The sequence below is a fragment of the Homo sapiens genome, chromosome 17 (genome assembly GCF_000001405.40).
Source record: "Homo sapiens chromosome 17, GRCh38.p14 Primary Assembly".
Lineage (NCBI taxonomy): Eukaryota > Metazoa > Chordata > Mammalia > Primates > Hominidae > Homo > Homo sapiens.
The window spans coordinates 66336690-66357324 of NC_000017.11; the positions used below are offsets into that span (position 1 = coordinate 66336690).

General features: G+C 41.8%; 1 protein-coding gene across 8 annotated transcripts in view, besides 3 other annotated features; it reads left to right on the plus strand.

The window, feature by feature from the left end:
- The window catches only part of PRKCA (protein kinase C alpha), a 508131-nt gene that overhangs the window by 34077 nt on the left and 453419 nt on the right, over positions 1 to 20635 (plus strand). The window lies entirely within an intron of this gene.
- Positions 9242 to 9536: an enhancer, noted in NCBI's record as "tiled region #4334; K562 Activating DNase matched - State 5:Enh". NCBI's record gives its function as "activates a minimal TATA promoter and a strong SV40 promoter by Sharpr-MPRA in K562 cells {active_cell/tissue: K562}" and the evidence as "EXISTENCE:reporter gene assay evidence [ECO:0000049][PMID:27701403]".
- Positions 9242 to 9536: a silencer, noted in NCBI's record as "tiled region #4334; HepG2 Repressive non-DNase unmatched - State 7:EnhWF". NCBI's record gives its function as "represses a minimal TATA promoter and a strong SV40 promoter by Sharpr-MPRA in HepG2 cells {active_cell/tissue: HepG2}" and the evidence as "EXISTENCE:reporter gene assay evidence [ECO:0000049][PMID:27701403]".
- Positions 11902 to 12196: an enhancer, noted in NCBI's record as "tiled region #10613; K562 Activating DNase unmatched - State 5:Enh". NCBI's record gives its function as "activates a minimal TATA promoter and a strong SV40 promoter by Sharpr-MPRA in K562 cells {active_cell/tissue: K562}" and the evidence as "EXISTENCE:reporter gene assay evidence [ECO:0000049][PMID:27701403]".

A 20635-nucleotide genomic window follows, 5' to 3' on the forward strand; every position in this document is an offset into this window, starting at 1 on the left:
TTCATATATAATGTTTTACCCTTCTCTGGTTAATTCGCCACATCCTGAACCCCTGCAAATAAGTTTGTGTGTGTGTGTGTGTGTGTGTGTGTGTGTGTGTGTGTGTGTGTGTGTTTGAGACGGAGTTTCGCTCTTGTTGCCCAGGCTGGAGTGCAGTGGCGTGATCTCGGCTTACTGCAACCTCTGCCTCCTGGGCTCAAGTGATTGTCCTGCCTCAGCCTCCCAAGTAGCTGGGGTTACAGGCGCCCGCCACCACGTCCAGCTAATTTTTTTGTACTTTTAGTAGAGATGGGGTTTCACCATGTTGACCAGGCTGGTCTGGAACTCCTGACCTTAGGTGATCCGCCCTCCTCGGCCTCCCAAAGTGCTGGGATTACAGGCGTGAGCCACCGTGCCCAGCCAGACGTGCCTTCTTTATTGATGTAGGAATCTGTTTAATTAGATCATTTTTTTCCTCCGCAGAGTCAAACTCATAGTCTTGGGAGGAAGATAGGAAGGGGGCAGGCAGGGAGGTTACATGGGGACTCTGAGATGTCTGAGGGTGAGGAGAGGATGAAGGCGAGGCAAAGGAATAGATATCGTTGGTGATCCGCTAAGGACAGTGACCTTCTCACCTTATCTCAGTCCTCAACATGTAAAGATTTTCCTCCATTTTACAAGCAAGGAAATCAAGTTTCTAAGAGGTAAGTATTGTTTGTGGTAGATCTAAGGTTTTGTTTTGAGACAGTCTCACTCTGTCATGCAGGCTGGAGTACAGTGGCATTATCATGGCACACCACAGCCTCGACCTCTCAGGCTCAAGTGATCCTTGTGCTTCAGCCTCCTCAGTAGCTGAGACTACCGGTGGTTGCCACCATGGCCAGCTATTTTTTTTTTTTAAGAGATGAGGTTTCACTACGTTTCCCAGGCTTGTCTCAAACTCCCGGTCTTAAGCAATCCACCTGCCTTGGCTTCCCAAAATTCTGGGATTACAGGCATGAGCCACTGTACCCAGCATGGATCTAAGTTTTAAACCTGGTTGAGCTAATAGGAAAACCTAACTTTTAAACTTTTAATAATATACCTCAATGGTTTTTTAAAGGGAAGTACTGGAAAACTGGATGCTGGCTTTTTGACTTCTCTTTGAATATTAAATGAGCTTGACTCCATGGAATTCTTGTAATCTTAAATGCCAAAGCTTTAGACCATAAACTAATCACTTTGTGGCTTTCTATAAGTCAAAAAGCCAATTAAAAAAAAAACTTTTATTGCTAAAATTTGTAACCAGTATGGAGATTTGTGTGTGTATGTGTGATTGAACCTGGGAATCTTCCCCCCCCTCCGCCCCCCTTAATTTCCAATTGAGTAGTGATTTTTTGTGGTTGGAGAGGTAGTTTTAACCCGGTGAATTCCTCTAGCGGTTCTTGCTGAATGATTTCCTAAGGCATTTTGAAAATCTCTTGGGTAGTGCTTTTAACCTGGCTTCACATTTCATCTTTCTTTATTCAGGGAGTGTTTGGATTTTACACCATGCTTGAGGCTGCCATGTCTCGGCTGCAATAACCAGAAAACATTGGTTTTCTTTGGTCACTGACCAAGCTTGTCACTACTCATTTCTGCCTGGCTCTAGACTGAAGACTTCAGTCCAATTTTCCGAATGGCCTCTTTTGACTTACTGTGCAAAACCCCCACTTTGGCTCTGAACCATTCTCTGAATATTAGCATAAGCACCTAATGCTGCTTGACTAAATTGTTTCTGTTGAGAGAGGGGGATGAGGAAAGGCTGGCACGGGGAACATCTGTTAGGGCTGTACCTTTTCATTGTATTAATTTTTCTGACTTCTGGGATTATTTTCATTATGCAACTCTTCAATAAAGCAAATTTGGTATGATAAGGACTTAACATTCCCCCCCACTCATTTTAAACATATGGGGTTTCCAGGCTGTTATTCAAAGCTGTCCTACAGACTAAAATTTAAAATACAAGTGAACCAAGATTCTGCAGCTGAATCTGGGCTTTGAGGAGCCTACAGTGGGAGAAGGGGATGAAAAAAAATATTTTGTGGAATGTACTATAACCAACCAATAAGATGTTTTTGCTATTTTAATTGGCTCTTCCTGGCAGGAGTTTCATACAGCGGTGTCTCAGACACTGACCAAATCTGTTTATGGTAAGTCATTTTTGTAGAGAACAACAACATTCAACAGGCTATGGTATCACTCCATTTGGAAGTATGTTTCCTGATCTTGAGGTCGTAGAAGAAAATGACAGGAACATACTTGTGCCCACACAGGCCCTAATCTGTCTTGCTGGCATTCCTTAGACATTTATTTATTGAAGAGTCCTTGTGTCTATATTGAGGGGAGAAACTAGATAGGTTAAGGAATGGATGATAACTTTGATTCTGAGAGCTCTTGCGCTATCAGAAGGAATGTGATTGACGGTGCTTGAATGAAAGGGTAACTGTTACAGTATCAACCAAGAGATAGAGGATGGCTGGTTTTGGAAGCTGACTTGCAACACTGTTATATCTGGAGTTATAACCTTCCAGAGTGTTACAAAGTTTCCAGTCTATTCTTCCTATGTCTGCCCTCAGTGAGCTAGCATTGAGATTCGGCTGTTTATTTGCAGAAATAGTTAATCTATCTTTCTTTTAAAATTAACGCCTTCTGGAAACAGTGGCTCAACGGGGAAATGAACTCTTCACTAAAATCTCACATTTCTTACGCTTCCACTTGGAATAAGATCCCTCTCAACACAAATAATGTTTAATTTTTTTAACCACTCTGAAGCTAACTTAGGTTTAATTTTAGTTTATGCTAAAAGTTTTTCTTATGTGACTCCTACAGTTTTCCTAGAGTTATTGAAAAAACTGCTCCTATAAAGCAAGTTTAGTTTTTATTCTGTTCATTTTAGATCCTTAATATTGTTCTTTCATTACTACTTGAGGGGAATTTAAAAAGAAAGAAATATAACAGCTGTTTTGAAGTACATTTGAAAAATGGTAAACTGCAGAATCTGTTGCTTTTCCTTGACTCTCTTCACTCTCCCCCAAAGACCTTTAAATAGAAGCTGTTTCCTTTTGCTGCATTAACCCCAAACCCTATCTGATTTCTTCCAGTTGCCGAGCAAACAGTGGCAGCTTGCCTCTGAAGGCCACCAAAAAGGACCAAAATGTTTGCATGGAAATGGCAACCAAGAAACCCCTAATATTAAGAACCTACCTTGAAATCTGCCAATTAATGAATGGAAGCTTCATCAGATTTTCAAATGGCTTTTATAAAATTATATAATGGAGGTGAAAGTGAAAGGTCTACACTATAACTCCTATTACATGAGCTAAATGTGTAAGCCTTACCATTTGATGTGCTCTTCTAGGCTTAACAGTAAGGACCATTTTGGAGTTAAAATTGTGTGGATTAGTTCTGTGTTAAACATGTCTTCATCTCATTTATGTATTGTATTAAACTCTTTGGGGAAACAGATAAAAAGGACATTTTAGGCTTTACAAACACGCTACACACCATAAAATGTTTGTTTCAGCCCATTGCTTACTCCAAAGCAATGGCCTTTTGCTTGAAGATAATCTCAATAATAGAAAACAGTTACCAAAGGAACTAGGTTTTGGGTGGACGACTTAGCCCTCCACAAGGGACTGCAGAATCCTGGTATTTGAACTGGCAGGGTGTTTGGTTTCTTTTTTTTTTTTTCTTTTTTTTTTTTGGCTTGTTTGTTTTCGTTTGTCAGAATATGGCCCCAGTTTGGTTTAAGTTTTGAATGTTCAGGAATTTCTCAGAGCAGACAGGGGTCCATAAGGGCTTAGTAGTGCTTCTACTGTGCAAACAGTGATTTCTTTTTTCTCCAAAAATTAATTTGGCGTAAGTGTGATCATGGCTGCTTGACATTTTTTTGTTTTGAGATGGGAGAGCATAAACCACATTCAAAGGAAAAATTAGAGCCTATGTATTAGAATATTTAAACTGCTTAATGTAGAGCAAAGGAAAATGTCACAATTGGATGCTGTTGTGTTCTAAGCAAGCAATGCTTCTCTGGATTTGGATACTTGAGAAATCCTTTATTTAGAAGTCATTCATATTCATCTTTAATACAGCAACTGTGAATATCATTAGCCAGAAGCAATAAATTTTGTGAAAATTATTTGGCAATTGAGAAGGTAGGGTAGCCAGTTGAAGTCCTGTGGGCCCAAGGAGGAACTTGGCAGTGAGTTATTGTCAAAAGCTGCGAGTGCCAGGAGTCAGCCCAAGGAGAGTTCTGTGGGAATCAGAGGAGTGTGGGGCCAGTTGAGTCCTTATATTATTTATTCCTGCAAGCATGACAGATTGATTATTACGGATCTGAAAAATCACTTGCATGGGTCTTCTCATTCTTTTTCACCCCTCTTTTCTTTCTTTTTGGGAGTGGATAAGACTTAAAAACCACATACCTCAGGATACATTGCCGAATCAAAATTTTTCTGATGGTCGCAGACTTCCGTGTCTAGAAAGCTGCTAGCTTTCTACTATTTAAAATACAAATTTTGGGATATGGCAAGCCTCACCATTTCTTCACTGTATGTAGTACTGCTTGCTGGGCAGCAGACAGTAAATATTAAGTAAGCTCTTCAAAATCAGTTTCATTCCATCAGAGCATGGTGACATTTTTTTCCCCTGCTTTTAATCTCTAAGGTGCAAATTTTGAGGGATGTTAAGTAATTTTAAAAATTTATCTACTGTCTTTGTGTTTGCTGTGAGATATCTTTCTGGAGATAGAAAATTAAGTGAGGCGTGTTGTTCTGAAATCTGGGTGCCAGTAATTCTTGCATCGTAGGGAGCTGTGCCTTGCACTGTGTATACATGTCAAATCTGAACATCTCACCTCGAAAGAAGTTTGCCAAAAGGTAAAAAGCACTTCCCAAACAATCCTACGGTTTTGAGTAAGGAGTACTCAAAGAAAGAAAGGGACTGTTTTCAGATGTTTCATAAATGGTAATCAATCACTAATAATTAACTAGGTACTTGACCATGCAGGTATGCTCCCAGCACAGTGCGATAGCAGCTTAGAATTTGAGATTGAACTTTTACCCTGGTTATCTTTAGAATACTGTTTCTCTTTCATTTATGTGAATAAACATGTATTTTGCATGTTACTGTAAACATTTATATATCCTTATACCTTTGCAGTTTACCAAGAAAGGCTTATAAAATTGTGATAAAGATTTCTAGTGAATTATTTTCTTACAGCTCTTATGCAAGGAATTCAAGATTTTTGTATTATCCTGAGTCATAGATATAAGTGGTTTGATAGGTTATAAGCTATCTTGACACTGTTCTGCATTTATAAATTCAGCCATTCTGCAAATGTTTCTGGAGCACCTGCTGCACACAGACACCAAGGACACACCAGCGACTAAGTCAGTTGTGGTCCCTACTTTTGAGGGAGTGTTGAAGTCTATTCAATTAAAAGCCAAATCATGGCGGGGCGCGGTGGCTCATGCCTGTAATCCCAGCACTTTGGGAGGCCGAGGCAGGCAGATCACAAGGTCAGGAGTTTGAAACCATCCTAGCCAACTTGGTGAAACCCCGTCTCTACTAAAAATACAAAAATCAGGTGGACGTGGTGGCGCATGCCTGTCATCCCAGCTACTCAGGAGGCTGAGGCAGGAGAATTGCTTGAATGCAGGAGGCGGAGGTTGCAGTGAGCCGAGATCAGGCCATTGCACTCCAGCCTGAGCAGCAGAGTGAGACTCCATCTCAAAAAAAATAAAATAAAATAAATAATAATAATAATAATAATAATAATAATAATAATAATAATAAATTCAGAGATGGAGAAAACTTTGGGAGGCAGGGTGAGCATCTGAACCTATTTGAATGTAGATATAACTAATGCCAAGCAAGGGAATTATGGGGACAGGACAGAATGTCAAAGTTATACACCTAGAAACTATAAAAATAGTGTAACAGAGCCAAAGTCTGGAGGCAGAGAGAGGAAAAGTAAGAGAAGGTATAAGCATGCTGGTGTCCACATCTTTGATAGTAGATTTAACTGATTCTGTCTAAAACAAAAGCATTGTTCAAAAAAATTGCTTCAGCTTTTTAAATATTTTCACCATCTCTTAATCTGAAATTTCATTAATTTTATTTTGTTAGAGTCAAGAAAAATTATATCAGAAGTGAAAATAGCATGTGGAACATGTTCCCATTTTCATAAAGATTACTTGTCATCCATCCTTGTTCATAGAAAGATGGCTAGAATGGTTTTTGCTTAGTGTTAATGATATTATTTCTGTGTGTTGGCATTTGAGTTGATTTATTTTTACATTTGTCTTTCTACTCTGCATTGCATAAATTCTCTATTTCTTTTTTTAAAAAAGAAGCATAATATGCCAAGATGTTTAAAGTAGATAATTTTGGATGTTGAGAACCTGAATAATTTTTTTTTTTGTAGTTTTAATTTCCAAAATTAGGGGAGAGGGAGCATCTTGTTTGGTTTACCGTGCTGACCATAGGTTATATGTCATTTTATGCATATAAGTTTAAGTAATTTAAGTACCAAGTTACTACTAGTACTTGATTTCCTAAGTTGCTGGGAATATACACTGTGGGCTGTTCATAATTTTTGGTACTTAATCCATTTCCTCTCTGCCATGCTTAGCTTTTTCTCTATCACTTTCTTCCCCCCTTGTCTATTCTGGGGCCATATCACTCTTTGTTATCCATCACTGAATGGCCTAACTTCCTTTCAAACAGAGTTTCCCTCATTTGGTTGGTTTTCGGTTTTCATGGAAAGCTATTGAAGTGGTGTAAGTGAGTATGGGGTAGGGGAAGCTGGTTTTGTTATGATCAGGTTTAGAAGTTCATTTGGCCTGCTGTGCAGAGACCGGATTGGAGGGAGACTGGAGTGAGTGAGACTATACCAGTTGGGTACTGCTGAACAGCCATCCCTGAAAGTGATGGCGACTTGGACGGAGGAGGTGGGGAGGTGGACTTAAGAGGCTGTACTTGAAAAATGGACTAGACTTAGTGGAAGATTAGATATAAAGGGGGGGTTGAAGGACAGGGAGTATCCAGGGTGACTTGTAGGTTCTGAGCTTGCACAATAGGATGGATGGCAATCCATTTGCTGAGATAAGGCATGATGGAAGAGGAACTTGATGTTTGTTTATGTCTGAATCATCTGAATCATGAGGCTGGACCAGGTGACCTTGGGCTTCATTTTAAAATTGATAGCACCATGATGCCTACCATTGTATGTTTTCAGTGAGGGCTCATGAGTGGGTGTCTTGGGCCCCATCCCTCCCTAACTTAGAGGAAAAAAAAAATTGTCAGCAGCATTTTCTGGGGAGAGGTTCCTTCCATATTTTTCATTAGGCTTTCCAGGGGGGCCTTGGCTCAAGAAAAATTAAGAACCACTGACTAAGTATGTTCAGTCACAGTGACCATTCAATAAATAATTGTCATAGGCTCGTAAAGCAGAAGAACAGTATCGATGAATGGAAATTTCCTATTCGGCATTTTAGAAGGGAGTTTGAAGTGCTCCTAGGAGCCATTTTCCCAGCATGGTCTTTTCTGACCACCTAAGACCAAAATGATCATTCAGTCTCTTAATTCCTTTAGCGGTAATTGTGCATGTACTATTTCTTGGCTTTATTTTTATGTTTTTTTGACTATGCTGTTTAGCTTTTCCAATAGAAACAGCTAGCTGTGCCGGGCGCTGTGGCTCACGCCTGTAATCCCAGCACTTTGGGAGGCTGAGGCGGGCAGATAGCTTGAGCTCAGGAGCTTGAGATCAGGCTGGCCAACATGGTGAAACCCATCTGTACCAAAAACAAAAAACAAACAACAACAACAACAACAAAAAAACAGTTAGTTGTTATTAGCCTATCCCCATGCTGGCTAAGTTACATAATCATCCCTGTAAAGTTAGTGTTGGCATCCTTATTTTAGAGATGAGGAAACTGAGGCTTAGAAATGTAAGTAAATGGTAGCTAGTAAGTGGCAGAACTGTGATTTGAATCAAGGCTCTTTGACTCCAGAGCTTTCTTTTTGTCACAGATATTGACAAGTCCTGCTGGTTGGCAGAAGTCATACCTATACTCTACTTTTATTTATTTTGAGATGGAGTCCCACTCTGTCACCCAGGCTGGGGTGCACTTGCGCGATCTCGGCTCACTGCAACTTCCACCTCCTGGGTTCGAGTGATTCTCCTGCCTCAGTCTCCCAAGTAGCTGGGAATGCAGGCACGTGCCGCCACACCTCATGCCTGTACTTTGTATCACACATTGTGCATTCAGATTTTTACTGAAAGAACGAATATACCTATTGCAGTATGATCAAGCCTGTTTTATGTAATGCCCCTGCATATGCTCAGAATCAAGGATTACCCTTTTTATTTTTCTCATTTGTCTCCTATTTCTTTTGCAAACTAAATACCCTTTCCCCCGCACCCTCTATTGCTGGATTTTCTTAGGAACTCTTATACCTTATCTTGCTTTGGAAATAGCAAAATACACAGGATTACAGAATTGTTATCAATTCACACATTTGAGATTTATATGTTACCACCATTACTTCCTACACCAGTTTTCTAGCTACTTTTGTGTGTGTGTGTGTGTATTTAAATTGTGATTGAATTAGAAAACCTTGTTAGGAAGTTGAATTTCTGAAGCAATCATTTATGTTCAGCCTGTGTAACTAATGGACAATTATCTTTCAGTTTCCTCTGGAATCTTGCTTTAATGACTTTCAGAGTAGTGTTTATATATGCCATCACTTGCCTAATTAGTTTTATAAGGAAATCCGTGTCATCCCGGGTCATCCTGCCAATAGAGGCAGCTTCCAGTTCTCTTGAGCCTCCCGAGGGATGCATTCCCTTCACAAAGTGCTGGAAGCTGGCTTTCCTGGAGCTCCAGGGTCAGGGACCATTTTCCTTTTTTTATCATGGAAATGAAAAAGTCAGTGTCAGGGAGGTGGCTGACTGTACGACAGTCCTGATTATTGACTTATTTCTCTTACCTTAAAACTTGAGTTATTTCATCGTAAAATTGCAGGCAGGAAAAATATATAGAAGCAGTAGCCTTCAGATTGAGGATGAAGAAATCTCTCTGAACTTCAAGGAAATTTGGAAATGAGCAAAAATTTTGAAAACATTTGAAAATGGAATTTATAGCCCTAATAAAAAATGCAGTTAGGTGTATCAACATTTTGATTCCTAGACCAAGCACAGTGCCTGGCATATAATAGATGGCTAATTAATTTCATTGAACGAATACCTAAGTAGATGATGGATGAATGCCACTGGAACATAATGTCCATGAGGGCAGTGTTGCTGATATTTCTAGCATCATCTGGAAGGTGCTCAGTAACTACATTCTGAGTGAATGACTGAGTGCCAGTAAAAGATAAGCTATTGCGTTATCTTTTTTTGCTTTTTTTTTTTTTTTGAGATGGAGTTTCACTCTGTCACTCAAGCTGGAGTGCGCACGTGGCACTATCTCAGCTCACTGCAACTTCCACCTCCTGGGTTCAGGCGATTCTCCTGCCTCAACCTCTCGAGTAGCTGGGACTACAGGCACGTGCCACCACGCCTGGCTAATTTTTTTGTGTTTTTAGTAGAGACAGGGTTTCACCGTGTTAGCTAGGATGGTCTCGATCTCCTGACCTAGTGATCTGCCCACCTTGGCCTCCCAAAGTGCTAAGATTACAGGCCTGAGCCACCACGCCCTGCTGAGATATCTTTTTTAAATTAAAAAAAAAAAATTAGAGACAGAGTCTTGCTATATTGCCCGGGATGGACTTTTGAACTCTTGGGCTCAAGCTTCTTGCTTCAGCCTCCCAAGTGGTTGGTTTTACAGGTTTGCGCCACTGTGCCTGGCTGTTGGGTGGATTTTAGTATGAAAACTACAGATCCTAAGAGATGATCCCTGGGCATATCAACAAAGTATATGTTTTAAAAAGCCAAGCTTATTAGAAATATTATGTCCTATGATACTGGAAATCCATTTTTATTTGAAAATATTAAATAGAGTTGACATGTTGAATTTTTTAGTATAGATTAAGGCACTAGTTCTTAGGATGGCTTTTGGTGCAGTGACTCACGCTTGTAATCCCAGCACTTTGGGAGGCCGAGGCAAGCAGATCACTTGAGGTCAGGAGTTCGAGACCAGCCCTGGCCAACATGGTTAAACCCCATCTCTACTAAAAATACAAAAAATTAGCTGGGCGTGGTGGCTCACACCTGTAATCCCAGCTACTCCAGAGGCTGAGGCAGGAGAATCACTTGAACGCGGGAGGCGGAGGTTGCAGGGAGCCAAGATCATGCCACTGCACTCCAGCCTGGGTGACAGAGCAAGACTCCATCTAAAAAAAAAAAAAAAATTATTGGGGACTCTAAAGAGTTTTATTTACATAGATTTTATCTACTGATATTGGTCATATTAGAAATTTAAGATGAGAGATTTTAAAGATTTATTAATTGATTTAAAATAGTAATAGTAATCCCTTTATACAGTTACACAAACTACATAATTTTATGAAAAAGGACATTTTCCCTAACAAAAAAAATTTAGTGGGAAGAGTGGTGTTTTACATCCCTCTTCTGTCTGACTTAAATAAAACATAGTTGGACTCTCAGCTGCTTCTGCTTCAATCTGTTGTGATATGTTTTGGTTGAAGTGTATGTCTAACACATATATGTAATTGAAAAAAGGAGGGAATATTTTAATAGCTTTTTCACGTAACTGGAGATATTCTTTGATACTTTTGATAGTGGTCGTTGGCAAGTAAGTTTCTCAAAGGTTGGTTGCAAGGTAGAGAATGAAACCGTGTCTGTGTTTCATATTGGTCCATCTTATGTGTTGAATGGCTCTTTTATGTGTTGGTGTGACCGCATTCTTTAGTTTGGAAAACACTATTTCATTGAGTTCTGCAGGTTCTTCTAAATGTTGACACATTTCATTATTCAACATCAAAAAAGTCACAATTATTAGTATCACCATCAGTCTCATCAAAGAGCCTTTAAGTATTATTAGGAAGCCGTCAAGCTGACGGTAGATGCACATTTTCTAAGATTGTGTTTTTCACTTGGAAAACTTTATTGTATTTCAAAAAAGTATCTGCCAAATATCCAAGTCTAAGCAACCATATTGTAGTTGTTCTTTTGAGTCAAAGTGGTGTTTCATGGAGAGAGTGGCTGCTCAGCTCAAGACAGCCCTCATCCCTGGAGTGTAGCCAAATGCTTTATGTGTCAGAATATTTACTCAGAATTCTGAACCTTTTTTTTTTTTTTTTTTTGAGACAAAGTCTTGCTCTGTGCCCAGGCTGGAGTGCAGTGGCCCAGTCTTAGCTCACTGCAACCTCCACCTCCTGGGTTCAAGCGATTCTACTGCCTCAGACTTATGAGTAGCTGGGATTACAGGCACACGCCACCACGCCCGGCTAATTTTTATAGTTTTAGTAGAGATGGGGTTTCACCATGTTTGCCAGGCTGGTCTCCAACTCCTGGCCTCATGTGATCCACCTGCCTTGGCCTCGTAAAGTGCTGTGATTATAGGTGTGAGCCACCATGCCTGGCCCAGAATCAATAATTGTTAATGCTTCATCGAGACTTTCTTAAATGAAACTGGCATAAAAGACAACAAAAAGCCCCTGGGATTTCATGGTGGGAAGAACATAATTCCTGCTAGTACCGCCTGGCACTGTCACCTTGACTCAGGCTAAGGTTCCTGCTGTCACACCACCATTGCTCTTGCACCATCAGTGCAAACGTCAACACAAGGAAAAAGGCAAATAGTGGCTCAGTATTATCATTAAAGTGGTTTGATCATGAGGACCCTTAAGGGTTTGTGGAGCATACTTTGAGGCACACTTTGATTTAAGAGGTTAGAAACATCACATTAAAATTCATACTAATAAAGTGAAATTGTGCCAATTGCCCAAAACAGTGCATCAATCCAAAACTCTTATTTGTCTTGGAGAAATGCATTCAAAACATAGTCAACACCACTATCTCATTTTGTCTCTGTGTTGTGTTAAGATGGGTTTGCATACTTTCAGCCTCTTAGAGCAGGCAGTTGGAACATTATCCAGCAGCAGGTTGAACAGCAGAGGGGGAGGGCAGCTGGAAGTTAGGCTAATCTAACAAATGAGTCATCCACATGTGGATAATGGAGTTGTAAAATTACTCTCAGCTTTAGTCAGCAGCAACCAAACTATACGGTTAAAAATTACAGGTCTCCAAAATAGAGACTTCCTGAGAACTTTTAGTATAGCATTTAACTGAGAATGTATCAAGGGTTTGGTTGAGGATTTTTTCATAAAACCTTTCTGTTCTGGAAGGCAAGTTTGTTATTAAGAGCTTCAGTAATTTCTCTTACGAAGTGTTCAAAATGCACCAGAACCTGAACACAATGTGAGCAGCTGAGTGTTCATCTTAGCTGCGTCCATCAAGTGAACGGTTTGCTCTCTTCCTGTCCATAATTTGAGAGTCAGCCTAATGGTGAGTGGACAGTCATCTAATAAAATATTTCATACCTGTGGCAGCAGGTATAAAGCAAATAGTTTATTTTTGCTTTCCATGTAAAGTTTGGCAGTAAAGTTTTTGTCTTGAGATTTTTGTTTTATAAGAGAAATTAAAATTCCTTCTGGGCTTTTGCTGTTCTCCCCTGAGGATGAATATGCTGCCTGCCTACCCTGCTACCCCCCGCATTTGGCAAGGTTGCACATGTCTTAGGGATGGAAAACCAGTAGCCAACACTAAACCAGGCCTGCTGTGTAGACCTGGCTTGGTGAGTATGGAGCTGTTCCGCAGTAGAGGTTTGCAAAGAAACCATCACACCCTTGTTTCCTCTCTCCTTCTGGCTTTTCATTTTTCTTCTGGCCTTTTGCATGGAAGAAATAAGTCATCCCTTTTGAACAGTTTGGGTATGGAGTGTTTGCCCATGCGGTAGACTCTGGCAGGACAGAGAGGGTTTTCCCGGGCCTTTAGTTGTCCAGGTCCTGTATTCTCACATCTCCTCTGGGCTGCTGACTGCGCACAAACACAAAATTCATTCCTCCAATAGAACAGTGTTTGGCCTGGCTCCCAAAAACTGCTCTCCTCACTTGCACGGCTTTGATTGAGTGTTAGGTGTCTCTTTGGCTGCCTCCAGTGTCTCTTATTTTTAGGGCCTTCGTTAATGTCTTCTGTGTGTGAAACATGAAAATGGAGCCATGGCTGCTGGAATTGGAAACTTAGGGTTTTTAGGCCACCATTCCCTTATCACATGGCGTTATCAGGTTATTTAGTTACAGAGGTTAAAAAAAAAGTCCACCCTAGGAGCCGGCGTGTGTGGGGAAAGGAGAGAGGGGGCAGCTGAGCACCTAATGGGCAGTGAAAAAAGATATTGTAACTAAAGCTCGGGCTAGTGTCCTCAGAGCGATGGCCTTTCAGGTGCTGGCAGGGGTCTGCTTACAGCTCAGCCTGGTTACAAATGAGGGGATAAATTGGTGGTAACAGTGCCTTTTTATTTTTTTCCTTTTTCCTTTGGAAACTGGCTTTTCACATGTTGGAAAACGAGCTTGGATGCTCGGTGTAGGTAACAGGCAATTCTGATCTGAGAGGAAGGGCTCAGGAAAGGTGTGACCAAATGAGCCGTCTGAGTGGTCAGTCCTGCCCGGGGCTCACCCAGGCAGGGAGCTGGGGTCTTTCATGTGGGTGTCCGTGGACCCACAGGAGACAGGGAGGGATTGATTACAGGGGAGACCACTTCTGTTTCCCTTTCCTAAAGGAAACAGAAAATGGAAATAAAAATCTAAAATTATGTTATTTTCCATTTTTGGAATTCTGTTCATTTGTGTTTGGGGCCAGTTTTATTATTTTTTTTAATCTTTTTTGAGACAGGATCTTACTCTCTCACCCAGGCTGCAGTGCAGTGGCACCGTCGTGGCTCACTGCACCCTTGACCTCCCAGGCTTAAGCGATCCTCCCACCTCAGCCTCCCAAGTAGCTGGGACTATAGGTGCACACAACCACACCTGGCTAATTTTTTTTTCCCCTTGGTAGAGATGGGGTTTTGCTGTGTTGCCCAGGCTGGCCTTGAACTCCTGGGCTCAAGCAATCTGCTTGCCTTGGCCTCCCAAACTGCTGGGATTACAGACGTGAGGCACCGTGACTAGCCTGGGACCAGTTTTTGACGGTCCCTAGCCTTCCATGAGCATTCGTGTGCAAATGCACAGTCCAGAGGCATGTTTAGTTGACTCTGGTTTCCTCCCTCCCTTTCAATGTGTGGAACTCGCAGCGTTCTTTCTCTGCATTGCTGCGATCTGCCACACTTCTCGTTTTATCATGGACTGCAGTACAATGTAATTGTCTGTGTGCCAGTTTCCTCTGTCTTACTAAAGTGTGAATGTTTGATGGAAGAAACTCTGAGTGGACAGGGTCTGTCATAATCACCCCAGTATTCCCCATCGTGTGGTGCTGAGCTTGGTATGTAGTGGGGAGTGGGTATGCAGTGAATGTGGAATGGGTGGATGCTTGAATGAGTACAGCCGAATTTCCTGGCCAGGAAAACCATGAAGTGTTAGCACTGTTCTGATTTTACTTCCTCCTTCAGGCTATGGGCGCGTGCCAACTGACAGGGCAGGGACTGCCATGGCTAGTGGCTATTACCTAAACTCCAGCCCAGTTTTGGTGCCCCCGTTTCTGAGTCCTGAGCAAGTGTTCCTGGCATTGTGTTGGTTCCTATGGTATGTGTTTTAGTCTGTGAGACTCTTTCCTCAGTTTGAAGATCTGAAAGTAAAATGTTTCACCCAAGGTTTTTAGATTCGAGAGCTCATCCCGTAGGCCAGGGAGAGTGAGTACTAATACCCTATATGTGGCTGTGTTTAGAAAGGGCTATTGGGAAACATAAAAAATAGATTTTGACATTGGAAACAAATACATTTTAGTATGTGCTGCTAAAGAAATGTGTGCTATAAGCTATTCTCCTGGGGTTATAAATCATTAAATATTAACTTTTTAAACGATTAAACATGTGACTATATCTTATTGGTTACAAATAATAAATGCCTACTCAAACCAGCGTAAACCATAAAAGTAGAATTTGTATAAGGATTCACAGGGTGGTTTATGGGGAGAAGGGCAGGAAATGCTGCCAGGCTACAAGGGAGTCTGGAACCAGGACTAGGGCAATACCAGGAGCCAAGGCACTGCTCTTTCACCCCGAGAACCCTGGGACTCACCCGTGCTTCTCTCCCAGTATCAGATTCGTTCTCTGTGGCAGTGGTTGGGCTTCCTCCACTTCCCTGCTCTTAGGGTCTAAACTGGCAGTGTCACGTCGTGAGCATACCTCTGCCTTCAAGTTCAAATGCAGACAGACACAAGTCTCTGTTTAAATTCCTGAGGAAGAATTTGGTTGGCCCAATGTGGTCAGCTGTCTACCCAAGTCCAATGAACTCTGCTCATGGGAATGGGGCTGGGGAATAAATGTGGCTTAGAGGGCTGACGTGAGATCCCAGAGTCTGGAAGCTATTTCAAGGTTCTGGAAATAGTCTAGTAGGGCTACAAAACTCAGAGCAAGCCATAGGGTCCGGACAGTACCCTATTTCCTTTATTTCTAATTATTTTCTGCTCTGCCTTTTGAGGGAACTCATCAGTGTCTTCCTGAGGCCTGGAGGCTTTTCTGTGATCATGAAATGTACTATCTGAGGCCTGGAGGCTTTTCTGTGACCATGAAATGAACTATCAAGAGCAGGGCATGGGCTCTGCAGACAGCCCAGGAGTTCTCTGCTGCAGGGCTAAGTGATAATTCTGCTGAGGCGGTTGACATTCTTCTGGTTAGCTTTAGGGCAGATGAAAGGGAAAGAATATCAGGAGAAAAAAGAGCATCTTGAATTTGTGGTGTTTTTTGAGGTTTTTTTTTTTTTTTTTTTTTTTTGAGATGGAGTCTCTCTCTGTTGCCAGGCTGGAGTGCAGTGGCGCAATCTCAGCTCACTGCAACCTCCGTCTCCTGGGTTCAAGTGATTCTCCTGCCTCAGCCTCCCGAGTAGCTGGGACTACAGGTGCGTGCCACCACACTCAGCTAATTTTTGTATTTTTGGTAGAGACGGGGTTTCACCATGTTGACCAGGCTGGTCTTGAACTCCTGACCTTGTGATCCGCCCGCCTCTACCTTCCAAAGTGCTGGGATTACAGGAATGAGCCACCGTGCCCGGCCTGAGTTGTATTATTTTAGGGTTTGGGGAGGAGGGAAGTGGCGAAGAATGGTATATGAAGGGTGTTCTTGATTTTTCAGAGATGAAATAATTTTATCCAGCCATTTATATTTCTATGTATTTCTTCGGTATCTGTTTTTAATATCCTGTTAGACGTTTTAGTCTGTCAAGAGTTATTGCTAATTGTCAACCAACTACCTGGTTGCAATGAAGATAGGTTCTTTTTATGCCATGCACTCCAGAGATCTACTACACAGCTGGGTGGCTATGATTTGCATTAAACTAATAAAGTCCCCTGGTTAAAGGGGTATGTCCTAGATTTAACATTTGAAATCCTTTCCATTAAGTGCAGCACAAGCAGATCTTTCTGCACATTTTGGTGAAGCTTAACCATTTTTGATGACTCATTTTGATCCTAATCTTTAATTTTTCTGATTGCTTTTGGTAACCTTCTATTTGGGCTGTGTGCCGAATTTTATGATAGGTATCCTTTAGACGGCAGATATAATCAGGTGATTTGATTCAGAAAAGGAGTTTGCTTTCCCTTCCGACTTCTGTTTTGAAAGCACCAAGGCACTGGGCATGGTGACTCATACCTGTAATCCCAGCACTTTGGGAGGCTGAGGCGGGTGGATCACCTGAGGTGAAGAGTTCAAGACCAGCCTGGCCAACATGGTGAAACCCCGTCTCTACTAAGAATACAAAAATTAGCCGGGTGTGGTGGCCTGCTCCTGTAATCCCAGCTATTCAGGAGGCTGAGGCGGGAGAATTGCTTGAACCCGGGAGGCGGAGGTTGCAGTGAGCCAAGATCGGGCCATTGCACTCCAGCCTGGGCGACAGAGCAAGACTCTTTCTCAAAGAAAGCACCAAAGAATTCCCCCAATAGAAACAGTGTGTAGAAAATAATTTGGAAATGAAGGAATTAAGATGGTCTGAGATTTTTGTGGCTTGCTCTGTGTTTTATAGCCCTGGTGGGCTGCAAACAGGTATCTTGCTTCAGCTCTCAGAGCAGCCTCAGTCACTGGGAACTTTTTTTTTTTCACGGATGCTGCTTTCTCAGCTTCTAGAATTGCCTCCTTAGTCCTGAGTTAGAATGTCAGAGACAGGTTTTATGCTACTTTGCTGGCAAGGATCACCATCGCACACGTCATGTAGTTTATCTTGAAATTTTATGATTTGGGAATCAGATTCCTTCAAATAAGTTTGTGTCATCTGTTTTGTTGAGAGAGCTCGTGGCTAGGATCGCAGACGCGAACATTGTTTCTTCCTGAATTGTGTCCTTGAGTTGGTTGGTGTGTATCTCCAGAGTCCATTGTTTCTTTTGCAGAATGAAGGAATTGGTCTGCAGTGATCTCAAAGATAATTCCAACCCAGCACACCAGGACTCAAACTTAAGAAAGAATTATTTTTGTTATGAGTCATGTACATTTAGGGTTCTTACCAGACAGAATAATTAAATACATGCAGCTCTGCTCCATGCAGGCAGGCTCTGGGTCCTCACCTCTGCATACAGGATGCTGAGCATGGTAGTGGTTTAATCAATACTGTTGGTGGTGTAAATGGATGAATGGTGGCCATTCTGAAACGGCTTTGTAGGATCTAAGCTGTGTTGGGAGCCAATGTAAGTCTGGTCTCTGTCATTTGGAGTATATTTTGAAAATAGAAGATTAAAACCCCTCTTCATTTAAGTTGCCGTCTAAGGTCCTGGACCAGCCTTGGTTCACCCAGGTTTTTTCCTCTGCAGGACATTGGCTCACAGAAAACAGGGCTGCCCCCTTTTCCTGCATATTTGGCCTCGGACTGCCTACTTGACTAATCAGTTTAAGCTCTTCCCTCTTAGGCCATTAATCCTATTTCTCCAGCCGAGAAGCAGCAGGATAATAGTAATGTGTCCTGTAGCTATTAAAAGATGATATTGCCTTGCACATAAATAAAGTACTTTTTTTTCCTCTGCAAAAGGATGATCAAACAAATTTAATTTTCATTTATGCTTTTGCCTTTTTGTGATATTTCTTTGTATCTTCTAGTACAATCAGGGGAGAACATCATTTTTACTGTTATTGATGGTTATTTTCTACTTGTTTTCAGCATCCTAACAAGGTATTTGCTTTCCTATACATCGTTACATTTTGTCATCCTATGATGAACTCTCGTTGCTCGAGGGGGCGAAAACAGAGTGAACGTGGAAATGATCTTTGGCATGTGGTATTTTCTGAAAAACTGAATTTCACAATAAGCACATTTCGTGGCATTTGCTAACAATAATCTCCACATTCCTAGAGGTCAGATTTTCTCATTGAACACATTTTTTTTTCTTTTCAGTTTATATATGCAGAAAGGGCTTCATTAAAACTGAGATCATTCTCATTCAATCTTAAGCTGGCAGCCAACCCAGATCCTTTTAATCCCTGCTGTATGTGCTAATGAAAACTCAGGGAAGTGCTGATGAAAGGGAGGTGGTGAGGCTCCTTCCTCTCCTTGCCTGGAGACTTAACCTGTACATTTCTAGGCTTTTCAGAGTTAAGTTTTGCACCTGCTTGTGCAGTGGTGATGGAGCTCCTGAGGTATTTCTGCATTTGCTTCCTGGGTCTTGAATTTCCACCATTAAATTTCAGTCTAGTGGCGGGTGCATGGGTGTGTGTTACATCATTCTGAGTTTTTTTGTACATCCAAAATAATTTTGTCATCACCATGATCGTGGCTGCCATCATCATTTCGACTTTTGAGAGTCAGTTTATCCTCTCACCCAGCAAATCTGCTTTTGAGAATTGGCCCTAAGCAAGTAATCTTGAATATGGAGGAAGATTTTTGCACAATGAACCTGCCCATTGCTGGTTTATTCATAACAGCAAAAACATTGGAAACATCCTTTTCCAGTTTTGGGGGAAATGATTCAGTGATGATTGGTACTGTATATTCAAGTAATAGAATATTAAGTATCCTTTCAAATCATTGCTTAGGATAAATATGGAAAAATGCTCTTGAAAATATACCTTCCCAATTATAGGAAAGATAGTAAATTATATTCACAGTATGATTAAAGTGATGTTTTTTTTGAGATGGAGTTTTGCTCTTGTCGCCCGGGCTGGAGTGCAATGGCATGATCTCCGCTCACTGCAACCTCCGCCTCCTGGGTTCAAGTGATTCTCCTGCCTCAGCCTCCCGAGTAGCTGGGATTTCAGGCACGTGCCACCAAGTCCAGCTAATTTTTGTATTTTTAGTAGAGGTGGGGTTTTGCCATGTTGGCCAAGCTGGTCTCAAACTCCTGATCTCAGGTGACCCACCCACCTCAGCCTCCCAAAGTGCTGGGATTATAGGCATTAGCCACCACGCCCATCGGTGATTTTTTTTAAATCTAGTTTTTAAAATACCTGAACAGTGATGGTGTAAAGGACAAGATGATAGAAGACTTTTTTCTTTTCATTTTCTTGATTTTCTTTATCATCCACTTTTTTAAAAGACACCAACATTATTTGCATAACAAAACACCATATAGGCCGGCACGGTGGCTCACGCCTGTAATCCCAGCACTTTGGGAGGCCAAGGCAGGCAGATCACAAGGTCAGGAGATCGAGGCCATCCTAGCTAACATGGTGAAACCCCATCTCTACTAAAAATACAAAAAATTAGCCGGGCGTGGTGTCGGGTGCCTGTAGTCCCAGCTACTCGGGAGGCTGACGCTTGAACCCAGGAGGCGGAGGTTGCAGTGAGCTGAGATCGTGCCACTGCACTCCAACCTGGGTGACAGAGTGAGACTCCGTCTCAAAAAAACAAAAACAAAAACAAAACAAACAAAACACCATACAGATGGATATCTAAAAGTGAATGAGACTTGAAAATCAGCCAGAAATGTTTGCTGTGGTGATAAACATAACCCTTAAAATGATTTTTTAAATATTTTTTTAAAAAATAGGGTCTTACTCCAATTTCCCAGCCTGGAGTGCTACTGGAGTGGTGTGATTTCAGCTCACTGCAGCCTCCACCTCTTGGGCTCAGGTGATTCTCCCACCTTAGCCTCCTGAGTCGCTGAGACTACAGCCACACCACCATGCCCTGCTATTTATTGATTTTTTACTTTTGGGAGAGACGGAGTTTTGCCATGTTGCCCATGCTGGTCTTGAACTCCTGGGCTCAAGTGATCCACTTGCCTCAGCCTCCCAAAGTGCTGGGGATTATAGGCGTGAGCCACCACGCCCAGCCAAAATGAATTCTTTGGGGTCCAGAAATCTTGTCTTTTGCAAAGATAGTTTGATGGGGCAGGGTTGCTGGGAAATGAGGGTCCCAGGCTAACAGTTCTCTCAAATGTGCTTCATGGCTCCTGAGTGCCAGCTCTGAGTCATGGGTATAGGAACTGGTGGAAGGAGACAGAGAGAGAGGGTGCTGAAGCTGGGTGGTGGGGGAGGGCACTAGAGGCAGCTGTGGTCTAAGTCACACTTGGGTCTTGCATCTGGCTTTCTGCTTTTAT